General features: G+C 38.5%; 1 protein-coding gene and 1 pseudogene across 10 annotated transcripts in view; both read right to left on the bottom strand.

Annotated features, from left to right (window-relative positions):
* Positions 1 to 20,979, bottom strand: part of SMAP1 (small ArfGAP 1) — a 194,133-nt gene that overhangs the window by 118,822 nt on the left and 54,332 nt on the right. For 9 of the 10 annotated variants that reach the window (NM_001044305.3, NM_001281439.2, NM_021940.5 and 6 more), the window contains one exon: positions 10,683 to 10,816. In NM_001044305.3, coding sequence (NP_001037770.1) covers positions 10,683 to 10,816 — 134 coding nt within the window. Of the gene's footprint in view, positions 1 to 10,682; positions 10,817 to 20,979 lie in introns of those variants that run through there. The other variant, XM_047419229.1, reaches the window with a different exon arrangement.
* On the bottom strand, positions 8,232 to 8,691 carry NDUFAB1P1 (NADH:ubiquinone oxidoreductase subunit AB1 pseudogene 1; annotated as a pseudogene).

Raw genomic sequence — 20,979 nt, 5'->3', positions numbered from 1 at the left:
TGATGGCCTGCAACTAATGGGGAGTCCAATGGATCTGAGAAAAAAATACCAAAACATTCAAGAGATATATAAACTGGAAATCACAATGAACCAATCTGAGAAAAGCACAGGAAGTTGAAAAGGATTTTTCCCCAGTCTGATATGGTTTGGTTCTGTCACCACCCAAATCTCATCTTGAATTGTAGCTCCCATAATTCTCAGGCGTTGTGGGAGAGACCCAGTTGGAGATAACTGAATCATGGGGGCGGTTTTCCCCTTACTGTTCTCGTGGTCATAAATATGTCTCACAAGACCTGATGGTTTTATAAGAGGAAACCTCTTTCACTTGGCTCTCATTCTCTATTGTCTGCCGCCATGTGAGACGTGCCTTTCACCTTCTGCCATGATTGTGAGGCCTCCCCAGGCATGTGAAACTGTGAGTCCATTAAAACCTCTTTTTCTTTATAAATTACTCCAGTCTTGGGTATGTCTTTATCAGCAGCATGAAAACAGACTAATACAGTAAACTGGTACCGGGAGTGGGGCACTGCTGTAAAGATACCAAAAATGTGGAAGTGACTTTGGAACTGGGGAACAGGCAGAGGCTGGAACAGTTTGGAGGGCTCAGAAGAAGACAGGAAAATGTGGGAACATTTGGAGCTTCCTAGAGACTTGCTGACTAGCTTTGACCAAAATGCTGATAATGATATGGATGATGAAACCAAGGCTGATGTGGTCTCAGATGGAGATGAGGAACTTGTTGGGAACCGGAGTAAAGGTGACTCTTGCTATGTTTTAGGAAAGAGACTGGCTGCATTTTGCCCCTGCCCTAGAGATTTGTAAATCTTTGAACTTGAAGGAGATGACTTAGGGTATCTGGCAGAAGAAATGCCTAAGCAGCAAAGCATTCAAGAGGTGACTTGGGTGCTGTTAAAACCATTCAATTTTAAAGGGGAAACGGAGCCTAAAAGTTTGGAAAATTTGCAGTCTGATGATGCGATAGGAAAGAAAAACTCATTTTCTGAGGAGAAATTCAACCCGGTTGCAGAAATCTGCGTAAGTAATGAGGAGTCAAATGTTAATTAACAAGACAATGGGGAAAATGTCCTCAGGGCATGTCAGAGACCTTCCTGGCAGCCCCTCCTATCACAGGCTTAGGGGCCTAGAAGGAAGAAATGCTTTTGTGGGCCAGGGCCAGGGCCCCCTGCTGTGTGCAGCCTAGGGACTTGGTACCCTGCATCCCAGCTGCTCCAGCTGCGGCTAAAAGGGGCCAATGTATAGCTCAGACCATGGCTCCAGAGGGTGTAAGCCCCAAGGGTTGGCAGCTTCCCTGTGGTGTTGAGCCTGCAGGTGCACAGAAGTCAAGAATTGACTTTTGGGAACCTCCGCCTAGATTTCAGAGGATATATGGAAATACCTGGATGTCCAAACAGAAGTTTGTTGCAGGGGTGGGGCCCTCATGGAGAACCTCTGCTAGGGCAGCATGGAAAGGAAATGTGTCATGCAAGCCCCCACACAGAGTCCCCACTGGGGCACTGCCTAGTTATCTACGAGAAGAGGGTCACCATCCTCCAGACCTCAGAATGGTAGATCCAGCAACAGCTTGCACCATGTACCTGGAAAAGCCACAGGCACTCAATACCAGCCCATGAAATCAGCCAGGAGGGAGGCTATACCCTGCAAAGACACAGGGGCAAAGCCATAGGGGTGGAGCTGCCCAAGGCCATAGGAACCCACCTCTTGCATCAGTGTGGCCTGCATGTGAGACACAGAGTCAAAGGAGATAATTTTCGAGCTTTAAGATTTGACTGACCTGCTGGATTTCCGACTTGCATGGGGCCTGTGGCTCCTTCATTTTGGCCAATTTCTCCATTTGGAACAGCTGTATTTACCCAATGCCTGTATTCCCACTGTATCTAGGAAGTAACTACCTTGCTTTTGATTTTACAGGCTCATAGGTGGAAGGGACTTGCCTTGTCTTGGATGAGACTTTGGACTATGGACTTTTGAGTTAATGCTGAAATGAGTTAAGACTTTGGGGGCCTGCTGGGAAGGCATGATTGGTTTTGCAAGGTAAGGGCATGAGATTTGGGAGGGGCCAAGGGTGGAATGGTATGGTTTGGCTGTGTCCCCACGCAAATTTCATCTTGAATTGTAGCTCCCATAATTCCCATGTGTTGTGGGAGAGACCCAGTGGGAAATAATTGAATCATGGGGGCGGTTTTCCCCTTACTGTTCTCTTGGTAGTGAGTAAGTCTCATGAGAGTCAATGGTTTTATAAGGGGAAACCCCTTTCACTTAGCTCCCATTCTTGTCTGCTGCAATGTAAGATGTGCCTTTCACCTTCTGCCATGATTTGAGGCCTCCCCAGCCACATGGAACTGTGAGTCCATTAAACCTCTTTTTCTTTAGAAATTACCCAGTCTCAGGTATGTCTTTATTAGCAGTGTGAAAACACACTAATACACAGTCCAATAACAATTAAGTGTGAATGGGCCACAATAAGCTTGGAATGGGGAGAGACAGTCTAGCCCCTACAAACTCTCATATCTGACCATGAAGTTTCTCTTCCAGGATAGGACCCCAAACTGAGAAAAAGAAAAAACCTGGGAATTGACTCAAAATTGAGCAGGACAGGTATAACAGAGATAATACAAAAGGAGATGGTCCAGATAAAAGTGCAAAAAGGGAACAGAACAAGAACATCTCAACAAATGGCCTTGGGTTTTTTTTTTGTTTTTTTTTTTTTGAGATGGAGTCTCCCAAGTAGCTGGGACTACAGGCACATGCCCTATGCCCAGCTAATTTTTCTATTTTCAGTAGAGACGGCATTTTGCCATATTGGCCAGGCTGGTTCGAACTCCTGACCTCAGGTGATCCACCCACCTTGGCCTCCCAAATTGCTGGGATTATAGGCATGAGCCACCGCCTCCAGCCATGGCCTTGTTTTTAAACATTACATGAAAACAACGGAAGAGGGAGGTATGTGAAGTTAAAAAAGCTATCTTGAATAGGACTTCCTCCTAAAAGTAAAGGAAAATTAATATTGCATAAAAATGATCAGCAGAAAGAATCAAGGTAAAATCTCATATAAAGTTAATATTAAAAGGAGTAAGAATAATAGCTCTACAATGAAGACACATCTAGAAAACTTTTCCCAAAAAACAGATTAAAACTGTAACCTACTACTTCAGAACTAGCTAAAAGACATGTATGTGATGAAAAAACATATAAAATTAAAGACATGGAAAAACAGAACAACCAAATTTGAAATTTTAAAATAAGAAATATTCAGAATTAAAATGACAGAATCAAGAAAAAATTGGAAATAAAAGAAAAAACATTTCAGAAATAAACATGAAACAAAATGAACCGTAGACAACAAATAATAGTCTAAGAAAAATGGAAAGGCAGACGGAAAAAAATGTAATTTAAAAAAGTAACAAAAAGGATCCAAAAGCAAATGATAAATATTGCCATTAGGTAATAAAGATCCAACATACAGGTAAGAGGAGTCACTGAAGAAGAAAACTAAAGCAAGAGAATATTAAAAATAAACTGTAGTTCAAAAATAAACTGTAACTCAAAAAACTTCACTGAAACAAAAAAAGATATAAAACTACATACTGAAGAAGCATACCATATGTAGGTATTTTTGGTCTAAAAGAAACTCACTTTATATTTAAATATATAGTTAAACACATAAGCACAGAAGATTTATCAAACACCGAGCAAAGGAAATCTGCAGTGGGTACTAGTGTATGCATAAAAATTGATACATCTATACAACTGCTGTGCAACAAAAGATAAAGTGAGCCAGTTATATCATTTTAAATCTCTATTAGCCTCATTTAAAAAAATTAAAACAGGTAAAATTGATTTTAATTATATATTTTATTTATGTTTCTCTTCTGCAGAACTCACATGGAAAATACTATGCTTATCTCACCTTCATCCACAGACTTAAAAAATAGTGTCATGAAAACTTTTTTGCAATAAACTGATAATCTAATTACTCACCAATATCTAAGACAGCACCCAGGAGGAAGGATCAAAGCAATACATTCTTGGAATCCGCTCTAAGTAAAACAAACTTGCACATCTCATGTAAAATTTAAATTTTGACTGCCTATCAATATTCTAGGTTCTCTCCAGTTCCAGATTTTTATTTTTTAAAGATAGCAGAGGTACCACACAAATATTGTACTTTAATCAACTGTAAGTCATTTTATTTGAAAAATTAATGTCCTTCTAAATAACAAAATTTATTCCAACTTTACTTGAAATAACTATGTCAGAGTGAAAGAGCAGAAAACTTCTTTAATGTACTTAGCCACTTTCATCTCCTCTTATAATCCTAAACATCTCAATTTAACACTGAATATTGGGACAACATGACCACTAACATAAGTAGTGCCTGTAGTTTTAGTTGTTTTTTAAGCTACCGTAAAATATTTATGTTACCTATCAATACTCTTTTGCCTGTTCACTCTGTATTTGGCCTGACTAAGAATTCAAGTTGAGGCCACAGAATACAGCAAAGCTTACTTATGAAGACTGATGAAAACCCCTGATTTTGCCTTCCATAAGAAATTTTTTCTAGGAAAGATCAAAAGTTTAAATTAAGACAAGCAAGTCAATACTATGACATAGGTATTGCTAAGTTAAGTTAAAGACTACCCAGTTAGCTCATAGGTTTTTCTAGGAATAACTAGGTTACAATAGAAACCTGTATCCACTGGTTTTTTTTTTTTTTTCTTAATAGAAAATATAAACAGCAAGTGTGTTCAAAAACATTCCTTCCAGATTCAGAAAAAAAAATCTGTCTTACAGATTTAACCTGAGAATCTTTTCACACTCTTTTGACTTATGTGAGAGTGCCAACATTTTTTATCCTCTGAGGTTGAATTTCACTTTTGGTAAAAGCTGAATCACCATCACTAACCATGATATAATTTTTATGCAAAGACAAGAAATGAAAATGTTTTTGGAACTGCTATGGTAACTAAAGAAGACTGACTATACAACTAAAACATTCTCAAGAATGGAAGAAACTTCAGAGTCATCTAAACTACTCCTCATCTACCTAGTGAATGCTTAAATCCCAGCCACACGATTCCAGGTGGTTGTCCCGCCTCTTTACAAACCATTCCAGTTAAGAGTAAACCAACCTATCTTCCAAGGCAATCGATTTCACTTCTGGACAGTTTTAATTATTGAAAAATACTGCCTTTCTAGTACCTGCATATATTACCGTTGGAATTTTCATATGCTAGCTCAAGTTACCCTCCCTAAGGCTGCTGTATTTTTGGAATTTTAAAGCGAAACAGGAACATGAGGTGAAAAGGACAGAGATCAAGAAACAAAAAGAGACTATATAAAAATACAGGCTAAATGGGGAAGGGGAGTGCATGATTCTTTTTTCTCCATTCCCCATTCATCGCTAAGGATAATAAGCGTTATCTCACAGAATTTAATCAAACCAAAGACTGATTCAGCATGCCATTAAAAAATCAAGTGCATACTGTGTTCCTAGCATAGTGGAAGCCACCACAGCACTACAAAGACACATATGATAAATGTTCTAACTGCTGGAAACTTACAATTTAGTTAGATATAAGCAAAGGTAACAATATATGGTACTTGCCATAGATAATTGAGCACATACTACATACAGAAGAATCTTTTATTAAAGTAGAGATTTAAGCTGGGCTTTAAAGAATAGGAAGGATCTGGTTTGCCACAAGGAATATGCAAAATACATTTCCGGCCAAGCACGGTGGTTCATGCCAGTAATTCCAGCACTTTGGGAGGCCAAGGCAGGTGGATCACCTGAGGTCAGGACGCTGAGACCAGCCGGGCCAACATGACGAAACCCTGTCTCTACTAAAAATACAAAAAAAAATTTAGCCAGGCATGGTGGCTCATGCCTGTAGTCCCAGCTACTTGGGAGGCTGAGGCAGGAGAATCACTTGAACCCAGGAGGTGAAGGTTGCAGTGAGATGAGATTGTGCCACTGCACTCCAGCCTAGGTGACAGAGCAAAATTCCATCACAAAAACAACAAACAAAAAATACATTTCCAACAAGGACAATAGCACAACCAAAACAAAACAAAAGAACACACTATCAGATTGTTTCAGCAGAAAGAACTGTCTGGTACAGCCAAAGCTATTTGTTGTAAAGCATCTGAAGTAAGGTCAAAGACAAATGATGAAGCCAGAAGGCAGAGGAACATGAAGACCAGTTTAATGAAAATAAAAAGTTTTATGAGTCTCACAGAAGAATCAATGCAAATTTCTTAGGATGGAAGTAAAATAACCAAAGCAATGTTCTAGGAAAATTACTCTGAATGCACTGTGTAAAACAAATGGAGATGTGACACTGATGAGAACATCAGAAATAAGGCAAAGCCTTGGACTTGTCGGAGAAATGAAACTAGAAAGCAGCAGAAGCAAGAAAAGAATTAAGAACACAGAAGTAAAAGGGAGAAAGGAGTAAGAACCATAGAATATACAAGTTTTTAAGAGTAACTGGAACAATGACATTAACTTTCTTTCCAAACAGCTCATTATTTCAATTTTAGTTTGTCAAGCTGCAAGTAGAATAAAGACATCTACTAATCTTAATATTTACAAATGCTAAACATTAATAACTATCACTATAGACCAAATTTCCATACTGAAACAATTTCATAAATCCTTGTTTCCTGTATCCATATGGCATATACAGGGATTTGTTTGATACTGCTATAAAACAACAGTTAATTCTGGTATTCCATTCTTTACTCCACCCAAATGTATAATATCTTGGGTGGGGGGAGGGGAAGGAAGCTATAGTATTTATAAAAGTATAAAAAACTTGGTCCTTTCCAAAAATTTGAGAAGTACGTGACAATAAACCCAAGACCAAACACAATTAATCTGACCATGAACCACATTAAAAGAACTTTTAAGACTTTTTTACAGTGAGTAACTTTATTTCTATGTTATTAAAAATCAAAGTAAGTTTTGGGTAACAACTATTTTCTTTTAAAAATAAGCATACAGCAATTCTAACAGCTGTACATGTTGTGCTCTAAAAACTGAAACACATAACATATACATAAATAACAGATAAAAATATGGTACATATAATATCAGTTTATAAGTAACCTTGAGGAAAAACTTAGTATTTACATTTTACAGAATTATACACACACACACACACAAAGAACATTTTTATTTAACAGCTTGACTGGGCTCAAAGATTAAATCATGTTTCCATATTTACTAATAAAAGGTATTTTTAAAAAAATAGAGCTAGCCAAAACAGTATCATCTTTGAAAATTAGAAACACAATTATGAAATGTTGCAGGGAAAGACAAAGGGTATAACTATGTAACTATGTACAGTAAAAGTATTTCTCTTAGTTCCATAAATAAATACCTCCCAAGTACTTCTTTTTTAGGCTGAGTCTCACTCTATAACTCATGGCGGAGTGCAGTGGCAGGATCTTGGCTTACTGCAAGCTCCACCTGCCAGGCTCAAGTGATTCTCCCACCTCACTTTCCAGAGTAGCTGGGACTACGGGTGTGTGTTACCACACCCTGCTAATTTTCGTATTTTTAGTAGAGACGGGGCTTCGTAATGTTGGCCAGGCTGGTCTCAAACTCTCGGATCTGCCCACTTTGGCCACCCAAAGTTCTGGGATTACAGGAGTGAGCCACCGCTCCTGGCCTCAAGCACTTTTTATATCAAAGAAATTATTATAAAATATCATATGAATATGGAACATTATATCACATTGTGATCATCACTTTTGCCCATCTGAATTAAACGTCAAAGTTAATAGGAACAGCCTCCAAAAAGACAGACATTTTAATGTATAGCAAAACTAACCCAATGGGATAGAAATCAGTGTAGTGTATGCCCCTGGGGGACTTGACTGGAAATTGGCATGAAGGAACTTTCTAGTGTGACAGAAATGCTCTATCTTCACTGGGGTATTGGTGACATCATACAGACATTTGCCAAGACTCATAAAACTAAATGAGATCTGTGAACTGTTCTCTCTGTAATTATAAGTCAAGTTTTTTCTTTTTTTGGTTTTATACGTTTATTTTCAGAGTAAAACAATTACACAATTTAAACCCAGGTCTAACAGAATTACTCTGCCAAAGTCAGCAATAATGCCAAAATGCATTCTCACTTCCAGACACTCACCAGTATCATCTGAGTCTTCTCCCAGTGAAGCAAAAGGGTCTGATATTTTATTCATATACATCTCTCTTATCTGCAATATAATCTACAATTTCTTGTGGACATATTAACTTTTCCATATCTATACCAGGAATTTCAAACCCAAATTTATCTTCCATGACCATGCTTACTCTCTACTTGGTCCAAACTGTCCAAGCACAGGTCTTTCATAAAGTAAGAATTCACTGAGAGCTTCTCTGGGTCAATCCTGTCACAGGGTTTCAAGATATAAAGAAGACAGTCTTCGATTCCCTCTAACATCAAAGGGGGCAAGTCACTATACTGACAGCACGACTGTGTAACTTCTACCCAGCACGTGCGCAAGCACCAAAGCCCGCTGTGGAGCCAGCTGCAAAGCCCCAGCCTCATCAGAGTCCCCACAGAGCACAGGCGATGCTGAGCAGCAGGCTGTGGCCAGCACGGGACCCGGTGCATCAGTGTGATGGCCAAGGGCAGGTGGCAGACACAAGCTGCCATGGCTACCCCGACCAGGATTTCCTACCTCAATTTTTTAAAAAGAAACACAGGAGACCGGGTCCAGTGGCTCATGCCTGTAGTCCCAGCACTTTGGGGGGCCAAGGTGGGCAGATCACTTGAGGTCAGGAGTTCGAGACCAGCCTGGCCAACATGGCAAAACCCCACCTCTAATAAAAATACAAAAATTAGCAACACATGGTGGCACGCACCTGTAATCCCAGCTACTTGGGAGGCTGAGGCAGGAGAATCGCTTGAACCCAGGAGACAAACGCTGCAGTGAGCAGACATCACACCACTGCACTCCAGCCTGAGCAATAGCATGAGTGAGACTCCGTCTCAAAAAAAAAAAGATGGGAAGAGCAGGGGAGGGGGGCCAGACAGAGCAATTCCTATCAAGAAGTTGGCAAATGCAATCAAATAATGTTCAAATACAATTTCAAATATTATTATTTAATAACTGTTTTTAAAATCCTTACATTGTAAAAAAAAAAAAATCCAATATATTGCCATGTACTTGTAACCTATGCCAAAGAAAACCAGTGAACTGCAGCCCTCTGATTACAAAATTCTACTCTAAGCTATACAGCTGCCCATCTCAAATAATTTGCTATTCATTTCCTCTCAACAACCTAATTGAGAAAAATATTTCTGAATAACTGAACTGTTGAAGGATCTCGTGTTTTATCCTTAGTTTGAAATAAGCCATTAAAAAAGCAGGATACTTCGGTCGTGAATGCTTTGTACCTCCATAACCCATTACAAACACCAAGTTATACTGTCAAGCTACACCTCACACGTTTCTTGAAAAAGAGTTACAACATCAGCTGGGCATGGTGGTGCATGCCTATAGTCACAGCTACTTGGAAGGCTGACATGGGAGAATCGCTTGAGTCCAAGAGTTTGAGACCAGCCTGGGCAACATAGCAAGACCCTGTCTCAAACAAACAAAAAAAGACTTACAACATCATGACATCTGTTACCATATTCTACAGAGATACTAAGAACACTGCCTTACAGGAAGTGTTTAAAAAGCTCTGCTTCTTTGATATAACTAGTATGTTTTCTCCTCAAGGATCTTGAAAGTACATAAAAGATTGCATTTCCCTTTATGCTCTAGCCAGCGAAAAGCTCAAAAACTAATTTAAGATGGAACCAAATAAATTATGCTTGACTTTATAGCCTGAAGATCTCCATTCTGTTTTTCTACCTTTACTTCACCCCATTCATGTAAACTATTGGGTTAAGATTCTGAGATGTATCACTGAGTCTCAACCACATATATTTATGTATTTAGCACTTCATAGTGACTTAAAAGTAATTTCAAAAGGGCATAAATAAGTGGTGTAACTTCACTGTGAATTACATAATAAGACCAGTAGAAGTACTCATTTTTACAATAGTGGCCAACCTTAAAGATAAAAAGTAAGATTTTGAGAATTTAAGACTGTCACATTGGGAAAATGGCAAACTTTTAAAACTACAAATCTACCTCTAGCAGAGTTAAACCACTCATAAGTAAGTTTAGGTTGGTCATAAGAACATTTGTTCACTGGGTTGTCTTACAACTTCTGGGCCTTGTCTGAAAACTAAGAACACCTCAGAACAGAAAGGAAATTACTCAAGTCCATTTTTAGGCTACAGGTGGTTTTTTATTTTATCTTTACCCAGGCTCCCTCCACTGAAAAAAAAATAAAACAAACTATGGAATTATACTGGCAAATTTTATCAACAAGAGAAATGATACTTTAAAAACACTTTAAAATCAACATTTTAGAAAGTATAGATTAAAAACTGACTTTACTATAGACACAAAATGAAATAAACATCTGTGAACTGAAAATTCAAATATTCCAATTTTATACGTGGCATATGCCATTTCAACATACAAAACTACTTTTCAATGTTAATCCTTAGATGCAAGAAGGGTTAAATATTTTTAAATCATTTTAAATATTTTAAATAATTTCTTGGTAACGTCATGTTTACCTGTATCTGTTCTGCTGTCCATTGGTCTAGGTTGACTGATTTGACCCTGGATATATGAACCCCAAGATTTCTATGAATTCCAGCACATCTGATGCAAATAAACACACCAATATTCCAGGAAGCCCATCGAGGACCTAATTTAGAAGAAGAAACCACAAAAAAAAGCAAATGTTAAAAACAAAAATAAACATAACAGCATATTAGAAGCATTCTCGGTTTTATATAATTATAATGGAAGCTTACAGAAGTCACATGCTCAAATTTTCAAATGGTACTGGCGGCAGTCTGCTAAGAAGACATGTGTCTTGGCAATCTTTAAGAACCTTATTGATTTTACTCATTTTGCTTTCCTAGAAACTTCCCCTCCACTCTAAGATTTTAAAACTAATTTATATAAACAGCTTCTTCACTTAGCATATTTGAATCAGGAATAGTAATAATACCCTACTGTAAAAATAATTTCTTTATTAAATGCATAAGATATGCACAAGATTAACAACAAATAAAAAATCAAAGACATTTCAAAAATTAAATGTAGAAATTAATAAGAAAAAGACAACCAGCCCAATGCGAAATAAGCAAAAAGATATGAATGAATAATTCACAGAAGAAATTTATGGCCAATAAGCATGAAAATATGCACAGTCTCACTGGTAATTAGTGAAAGTGCTCTTTAACTCTACAGTTACTTCCATTTTGCACCCAACATTCTGGAAAAAAAAATTTTTAACTACTAATTGTTGGCAAGAAGGGGAAACAAGGACTGCTTCAAAAAGCGTTGCATCAACATGGCTAAATCTCAAATATAACACTGACATTAAAAAAGGTCACAGATGAATATATACAGTGTGAAACCATTTACATAAATTGAAAAATATGTAAAATAATAGCATACTGCATATTAATTAAATGTATCTACAAATTTCGTGAAACTGAGGCAGGTAACTGGTGGTAAGGAAAGAGGATGTGATCAGGGAAAAGTTCACTGTGGGCTTGGAGAGCAATAGTAGCACTCAATTGCTAAGCTGTATGGCAAGAATATAAACTTTTGTTTCAGTAACATATAATACGCATATATGAACTGAGGTGTGCTACAAAATGTTAGTTCTTCAGTTCATGGTCAAAAAGTTCTGAAAAACACTGCCAAAAAACTCACATATGAATACAAGAATACAAGTCTTAGCTGTACAAGTCTTCATACCTTTGAATATATTCTTTCATAATAATTTTAAAAATTGCTTCAGATTTTTTCACATATTGCTTGTAAAATTAATAAAGTAAAAATGGAAAAATAAAAGCAATATCTGGAAAATATGCCAAATATTCAGAATCATATTACTAACAGACTTCTATAAATTAGTTGATTATGAAAAATGTATGTATATAGTAAGAGATATCAATAAAAATCAAGTAGCTGGACACAGTGGCTCATGCCTGTAATCCCAGCACTTTGGGAGGCCAAGGCAGGCGGATCACTTGAGGTCAGGAGTTTGAGAACAGCCTGGCCAACCTGGTGAAATCCGGTCTCTACTAAAAATACAAAAATTAGCCAGGCATGGTGGCAGGTGCCTGTAATACCAGCTCCTCAGGAGGCTGAGGCAAGAGAATCACTTGAACCTCAGAGGCAGAGATTGCAGTGAGTCGAGATCCCGCCACTGTACTCCAGCCTGGGTGACAGAGAGAGACTCTGTATCAAAAAATTAAAAATTAAAAATAAAGCTTTTTTTAAACATAGCCTTCTGTTTTAAGTACATGCTGTTTATCTAAAGGTGACACTGCTCTACACAACAACATTAAAGCTAGTAAGTACAATATAGTAAAATTAAAAATAATGCCCCCCCAAATTCCTTAATTACACAGGAGGAAGATTATGCACATGCAACTTATCCTCAAATATCCTGCTTTTAAATTTGAGAAATTACATCTATAAACTGGCAAACATACATCTGGGACATCTGTGACAACTCTAGATAGAGCTGCCTCCCCCAGTTACTTTCCACTCTGTCTCATCATTTCTAACACAACAATTTACAACGTTATCTATCTGTTTTGAAGCTTACACATTAAGGTAAATAGTTACAGAGCAATAGCTGGAGGGTTTAATTATTTTTAGCAAGTAAGTCTCAAACTAAGAAAGGTTAAACAGATATGCAGTGGGCCAGAAACAGTGGCTCACACCTATAATCCCTGCACTTGGGAAGCCAAGGTGAGAGGATAACTTGAGGCCAGGAGTTTTGAGACCAGCCTGGGTAACATAGTGAAACCACAGTGGTCTCTAATAAAAATTGAAAACTACACACCACACGTAGTGGTGAGTGCCTGCAGGTCTAACTACTTGGGAGGCTGAGGCAGAAGGATAGCTTGAGCCCAGGAGTTCAAAGGTCCTTTGAGCTATGGTGGTACCACCGCACTCTAGTCAGAAAAAAAAGGAGGGTCAGGGGGAGAAGGGAGAGAGAAGGGAAGCAGAAATGCACAGTGAATTCTAGATCAGTGTCTCTCAAACCCTAATGTGCATGCACATCAACTGGAAATATCATGAAAATGAAGACTCTTAATTCTGTGACCCCCAGAGTAGCTCCTAAGGTTCTGCATTCTAACAAGTTCCCAGTGATGCCCATGCTGCCATCCACAGATGACATTTTGAAGAGCAAGGTTCTAGAGCATTCTCCACAATCTTTAACTCAAGCATTCAACACACTTCCTGATTTGCTTTCACATAACTAACGTAATTAAGGGACTGATAAATGTGGCAGCAGTAAGAATGGAAACGAACAAATATGAAATCACCAGGAAGAACTGACAGGGCTTACTCATAGAAAATACAGTGGCAAAGGAGAAGGTAGAGGCCAAAATGCAAGTTCTGCACCTAGGATATAAAGCATGAGGGTCCTCGTGGAGTCAGAAAACTGCAGGAGATCCATTGAATGCTTTAAATGATAGTGATACACCAAGATGAAAATGTCTGGCAGGCGATTTAGAATATAGGACTAAAGTTCAAACTGGATACATACACACATACACACACACACACACACACACACACACACACACAACCTTCTTTTTTTTTTTTTTTGAGACGGAGTCTCGCTCTGTTGCCCAGGCTGGAGTGCAGTGGCGTGATCTCGGCTCACTGCAAGCTCCACCTCCCAGGTTCATGCCATTCTCCTGCCTCAGCCTCCTGAGTAGCTGGGACTACAGGCGCCCGCCACTTCGCCCAGCTAATTTTTTGTATTTTTAGTAGAGACGGGGTTTCACCATGTTAGCCAGGATGGTCTTGATCTCCTGACCTCGTGATCCGCCCGCCTCGGCCTCCCAAAGTGCTGGGATTACAGGCATGAGCCATCACGCCCAGCCTCACACCTTCTTTTAAGATGAGAGTTGCAGTATCAAGAACAAAAAGAGCAAAAAAGCACAGTACTAAATCTTAGGGAGAAAATGAAAGGCAGTAAAAGTAGAGAATGAGGTCGTTTCAAAGAAAAGCTGTTTTCAAAAACAGGGAAAAAAAAAAGATGTTCAATAGTATCAAATATTCCAAAGAAGTCAAGAGTAATTGGGCTAAGAAAGAACATCTGGATGTGGTAACTGAGGCTGAAAAGTATTAGGTAACCTCAGAGATTAGGCAGAGCAAAAGGGAGGGAGCTCATCCACTCTGAATTCATTATCAGAAGAAGAGGGAGAAAGATAATTCACCCAATCTGAATTCCATTACCAGTTTACACTCTCGCACCATTTCAGTTTCCAACTCCAAACCTTTAACAGTTTCCTGTTTTCCTCTATATTAGATTATAGGAAATATTTATCTCCTGTAAATGTCTACACTCATAACAGCATGTGACACAGAATGTGCCACAATAGGCATCTACTCTTTTTTCATTTGTAATTAGTTCTGTCTCCTAAAGTAGATGGTAAAGTTCTCACTAGGAAGGCTCTTATATAACCTTCTGTATCACCTACAGTAAGGGAATCGACTGTATAATTTTAAAAATCTGCTAGATCTGATGACTCAGTCAAATACTCAAATGTTTTGATTCCTGAACAACTGATCTACTATTTTTAAAAATGGAAATAAATCTGAAAATTATGGCAAAAATCACTATCTTTAATATCAATTTTCCCATTCTTCCTTTAAGTAATAAAGGCTTCTGAATTTTACCTAGAAATGTGGCTGTCCTGATAGGAAGACTACATTTCTCAGCCTCTCCTGTAGAATGTAAACAGAAATGATATATTTTGCCATTAACCACACTGGGCCTGTGTTCCCCTGGCCTCTTCCCCTTTTCCATTTGCTAGGAGACAATAAGGAATGAACCTGCAACCTTGGATCCAATTACAAAAGCCCCATGGTGAAGATGACAGAACTACTCTACCCATACTGGACAGTTCATGTCCAGACCAATGTGAAGGAGAAATAAACTTCTACCCTGTTTAAGCCACTTTTTTTTTTCTTTGAGACAGGGTCTCACTCTATTGCCCAGGCTGGAGTGCAGTGGTGAAGATCTTGGCTCACTGAAATCTCTGCCTCCCAGGCTCAAGTGATCCTCCCACCTCAGCCTCACAAGTAGCTAGAACTACAGGCACATACCACCACGCCCAGCTAATTTTTGTATTTTTTGTAGAGACAGGGTTTCACCATGGTGTCCAGGCTGGTCTCAAACTTCTGGGCTCAAGCATTCCACTTGCCTCAGCCTCTCAAACTGCTGGGATTACAGGTATGAGCCACACTGCACACGGTCAGTGTGAATTACATTTGAATGTTGGTAACAGCAAACAGAACACACAATAGATTTAGCAATCCCTGATTTTAGAGCCCAAATTCTAAGACGGGTTAAAGAATAATAAAAGACTTTTTCATCAAACCTGAGTTTTCTAGATCCAATTTAAATCACCAGTTATCTATTATGTGTTTATTTTGACCGAAGTATTAAACGAAGATGACAAAACACAAATCCTGCCTTCAAGGAGCTTGAACTCTAATAATCATATAATGGTTATAGTAATAAGTACAAATGACACAGGAACATAGAAGAGGTAAAAATTAATGTCAGCCAACAATATTAATGGAGGCTTTGTAGAGACAGTGGCATTTGATGTGATTATTATGTGGGTTGGGCGCAGTGGCTCACGCCTGTAATCCCAGCACTTTGGGAGACTTAGGTGGGCAGATAACTTAAGGCCAGGAATTCAAGACCAGCCTGGCCAACATGGCCAAACTCCATCTCTACTAAAAACACAAAAATTAGCTGGGCGTGTTGGTACGTGCCTGTAGTCCCAGCTACTCAGGAGGCTGAGGTGTGAGAATCGCTTGAACCCTGGAAGGCAGAGGTTGCAGTGAGCCGAGACCCTGCCAATTCACTCCAGCCTGGGTGACAGAGGGAGACGCTGTCTTTAAAAAAAAACAAAAAACAAAAAAAGACCTCAAGTTACACAGCAGGTAAAGTCTGGACAGGGTAAAGAACAAGGTACATTCTTGGTAAAATGAACAGTGCCCCCCCCATCTTGAAGAGTTTCAGCTATACTGTAATATATAGCCAAAAAATATAACATTGCAGTACCTGATGACTGCTAAGCTTTTTATTTAAATGCTAATTTAAATTTCTACACACACACACACACACACACACACACACACACACACACCCCTAAAATTTGTATAATATTACATGACTACTAACTTTCAGATAAAAATGACAGTTTTAAGGTATGGAAATCCTGCAGAAAGTGGAAAAATTAGGTTGACTGATAAATCACTATTAAGTATAAATAGTGTAAAAGACATTACATGTCTAAAAAATGAACAGGAATTTTATTGAGATCTCAATACACTTGCCTTGTAGCTTTCACATGATTTGAGAAATAAGATAAAACTGTGTGCTCTTCTGAGAAGAAATTTCTCTTCAGTTTCTGATTACCATGATGAACTAGCAAAACAGAAAAGCTTTCTTAAATATTTTTTACAAAGAAAATACGATGAGGAACAAAGAATTTAATGCTAACTAATGGTAATTTTAAGACTTATTCTATAAAGCCTTCTCCAATGCCCCAAGAGCACTTTTAAAATAACATTTATCACAATGACTTACAGTTAATTGTTTTATCTGTCTTTTCTGAGAAACAGTGATCTCTTTGAGAACAGGGACTTCATTTTATTGATCTCTGTATGTTCTGTACCCAGCACAATGTCTGGTATAAAAATTTAAGCAGTCTCTAGCTTACAAAGGATAGCTAAGACCTTGAGCCATCTGGGTTACTGCTGCCAAAACTGCTAAGGGAGCATTTTTAGAGGAAACTACCATCTTACTAAATAAGTAAGACATTATTCATCATATTTCCAAATATACTGTCTGGTTTAATCCTAACAAATATGCAAAGTAGGTAATATTACCACTCCATTTTAAAGATTGAGAAATTTAGGCTCAAAACATAAAGAAAAAATGGAGAGCCAGCTGAGACCATGACAGAGGCAAATCTCCAAATGCAACTGTGAATACTGTGTCTCCTACTATGGTAATTCCATCATTCCAAACGAAATTCCCTTATACTGGCTGGGGGATTTTACTCTACTTTGTCAGCTTTTCGAAATGCTAAGTCACTTCCGTTGAGGCTAATGATATAGGTTTAGAGATGCAAATTATCTATTCATCTCTCCAGAACTATCAATCCTTCTAAAATTATTATAAGTTTGCTTTATTTCTTTCCTCATAATACCCAAGATAAAAAGAAGTAAGAATTGGATTTGGTTTGGTTTTATTTGTTGGAGAGGGAAACTGCAAAGGGTAGAGAATTTTGCCCAAGGAGGAACAGAAGAGGAGGGCAAAATCAACTGAGATGTAAACGTTAATTCTTGAGGCAGCATCATAGTAGTGGATGCCCAGGGAAAGAGACACACACCAAACTCAAAGATCTCAAAGAGAAACTACATATGTCAAAATATTATCCAGGATCAGGCAGGAAACAAGGAACAAACCCTTCTCTTTCCATACCACAGGCCCTTTGTTCTTTACGCAAGAGCACTGACTAGCCCTTCACTGCTCATGGTCAGCTATACTATGGGTCGGGTATGTTTGTGAACTACCAGGAAAACCAGGAAACAAGCCATAAAAACAAGTTTTCCCTCACGCCTGTAATCCCAGCACTTAGGGAGGCCGAGGCGGGTAGATCACGAGGTCAGGAGATCAAGACCATCCTGGTTAACACGGTGAAACCCCGTCTCTACTAAAAATACAAAAAATTAGCCGGGTGTGGTAGCAGGCGCCTGTAGTCCCAGCTACTCGGGAGACTGAGGCAGGAGAATAATGTGAACCCGGGAGGCAGAGCTTGCAGTGAGCCGAGATCACGCCACTGCACTCCAGCCTGGGCGACAGAGCGAGACTCCGTCTCAAAAAAAAAAAAAAAAAAAAAAAAAAAAAAAAAAAAAAAAACACTGGTTAATTTAGGATATGGAGTCTGAGCAAATACACAGAAATGCCAGCTAAGAAGCCACTGACTCAGACACTACCATATTTAAAAGATTTCACATTTCAACCCAAAAGTTTAAATAGAAGTTTCATAAATAGTATTTGGACAAAAGTTATTTTACATTTCCAAAAGGTTTCTCCTAGCAAATACACTCAATAGAATGTTTGGGAGTTTCTTAATATTAAACATATTTCATTATATAATATTTTATTAAGAAAAAAGTTCTTTAAAATATTCCTTTTTAAGTAATCTTAAAGCTACTAACATATTTTGCTATGACCTAGTCACCTGTGGTTATCTGTGTCACGTTCATGTTTTCCTGTAAAGAAGCCTCGGCAATGCTAAAAGATGACATGTAGGTATAACATTTTACAACTAGACTTCCTGCAAAACCTTTATAAACTTCAAAAGAGTTTAGAAGAAAGTTTCCACATACTATTGCTGATTAGAAGAAAGTTTCCACATACTATTTAATTAATCATTTCCTAAAATGAAGCATTAATGGAAGGCAAGTGATTGTGATCACTCAAAAAAATAAGTTCACAGAACATTTCCTATCTTGACCGGGTGCAGTGGCTCACGCCTGTAATCCCAGCACTCTGGGAGGCCGAGGCAGGCGGATCACCTGAGGTCAGGAGTTCAAGACCAGCCTGGCCAACATGATGAAACCCCTTCTCTACTAAAAATACAAAAATTAGCTGAGCATGTGGCAGGCGTCTGTAGTCCCAGCTACTTGGGAGGCTGAGGCAGGAGAATTGCTTGAACCCAGGAGGCAAAGGTTGCAGTGAGCCAAGATCACAACACTGCACTCCAGCCTGGGTGACATGATTGAAATTCCATTTCAAAAAAAAAGGAACATTTCCTATCTTAAAAAAAGAAAAAAAACAAAAAAACAACAACAACAACAAAAAAAAAACCTTAAATACCCCAGCAAGTACAAACATTACCCATAAAAATGGACATAGTTAATTCTTCTAAAATTTGTCTGAAACAAGACTGACATTAAATAATAAGAAAACATTTTCATTTTATTAAAAAACAAAAGAATTGATATTTAACTCATTGCAATCTTTTTTTTTCAATATACTTGGTAAGAAAATTGTGTAGAACCAAGCAAACCAATAACATAATAGAAAATAAAACCTTTGAAAGAAAAGTTCTAAAATAAGTTATTTTAAAGCTCCCCTACTCAGAAAGACAGCACCTAAGTTGTAGTATTTAAATAATTCCCTCGGAATTGCTATTTTTTTAGGAAAAAAATAATCTGTCACATTCAAACTCAGAATAGCAGCACATGCATTCACCTCACAAAGATTTACCAAGAGTCTACTACATCAACACACTGTTAAGGGCTCTGGGGATATAGTAGTAAACTAAACAGATAAACTCCAGCCATCATGGAACTTATACTCCTATGGAAGGCAGTATACAATAAGCAAACATGTGAAAGTAATAGTGTATCAGTGTGGTGAATTTTATGGAGAAAATGGATAGGGAGTACAGGTGAGAAAGGGGGAGGGAAAGGTAGTCATCATTTGGTCAGGGAAGTTCTATTTGACCAGTGATCTGAAGGAGTTAGGGGAACAAACCATGCAGCTATCTGGGGAAAGAGTAATCAAGGCAAAGGGAACAATAAGCACAATTAAGGTAAAGGGAACAATAAACACAAAGGCCTTGAAGAACAATATGGCTTCTTCACATTTAAGGTATACATTGAGGGATTCCTTAAGAAATGTTTAATGTATGTTTAAGAAATACCAAGGAAAGCCTGGTGCAATGGCATGTGCCTATAGTCCCAGCTACCTGGGAGGCTGAGGCAGAAGGGATGCTTGAGCCCAGGAATTCAAGGCTGCAGTGCTGGAGCCACTGCACTCCAGCCTGAGCAATATAACAAGACCCAATCTCTAAAAAATAAAAAGAAATACCAAGAAGGGTCCAAACAAACAAACAAAAGAGTCTATAAAGGGCCACTTTTACATCCCTATAAAATATAATAAAAGTTTACTCAGAAATGTTTTTAAGCGGTTGCTGCCCAAACAACCTATTCCCTAAGTATAAAACAGCACAATCGGTACTGCTGGGGATAGGCCCCCAAATCTGGCCATAAACTGGCCCCAAAGCTGGCCATAAACAAAATCTCTGCAGCACTGTGACATGTTCGTGATGGCCATGACGCCCACGCTGAAGGTTGTGGGTTTACCGGAATGAAGGCAAGGAACACCTGGCCCACCCAGCGTGGAAAACCGCTTAAAGGCGTTCTTAAACCACAAAAAATAGCATGAGCGATCTGTGCCTTAAGGACATGTTCCTGCTGTAGATAACTAGCCAGAGTCCATCCCTTTGTTTCCCATAAGGAATACTTTTAGTTAATCTATAATCTATAGAAACAATGGTTATCACTGGCTTGCTGTCAATAAATATGTGGATAAATCTCTGTTTGGGGCTCTCAGCTCTGAAGGCTGTGAGTCCCCTGATTTCCCACTCCACAGGCTATATTTCTGTCTGTGTGTCTTTAATTCCTCTAGCACCACTGGGTTAGGGTCTCCCTGACAGAGCTGGTCTATGCACAGTACATACACATAGTTCTATCATTTTAATTCAGTGCTTAGCACATGCTAGTAAATATGAAAGGAGGACAAGAAAGAAAGGATTAAAGCTAAGTGAGGAAAACAATGCTAGAATTCCTCCAAAGGATGTTCTGGGCATGCGCTACTGTTTCTGGAAAGGGTCAAATGGCAAAAACAAAAATAATTTGCTCTCTACTACTCCCTACTCTCCCTAAAATTCAAAGTCAAATTGTGGGATATAGGGCAGGCAAATATATTAACAGAGGCTGATGGCC

This window comes from Homo sapiens, chromosome 6 (genome assembly GCF_000001405.40).
Source record: "Homo sapiens chromosome 6, GRCh38.p14 Primary Assembly".
Classification (NCBI taxonomy): Eukaryota; Metazoa; Chordata; class Mammalia; order Primates; family Hominidae; genus Homo; species Homo sapiens.
This window is presented reverse-complemented; position numbering and strand designations above follow the sequence as displayed.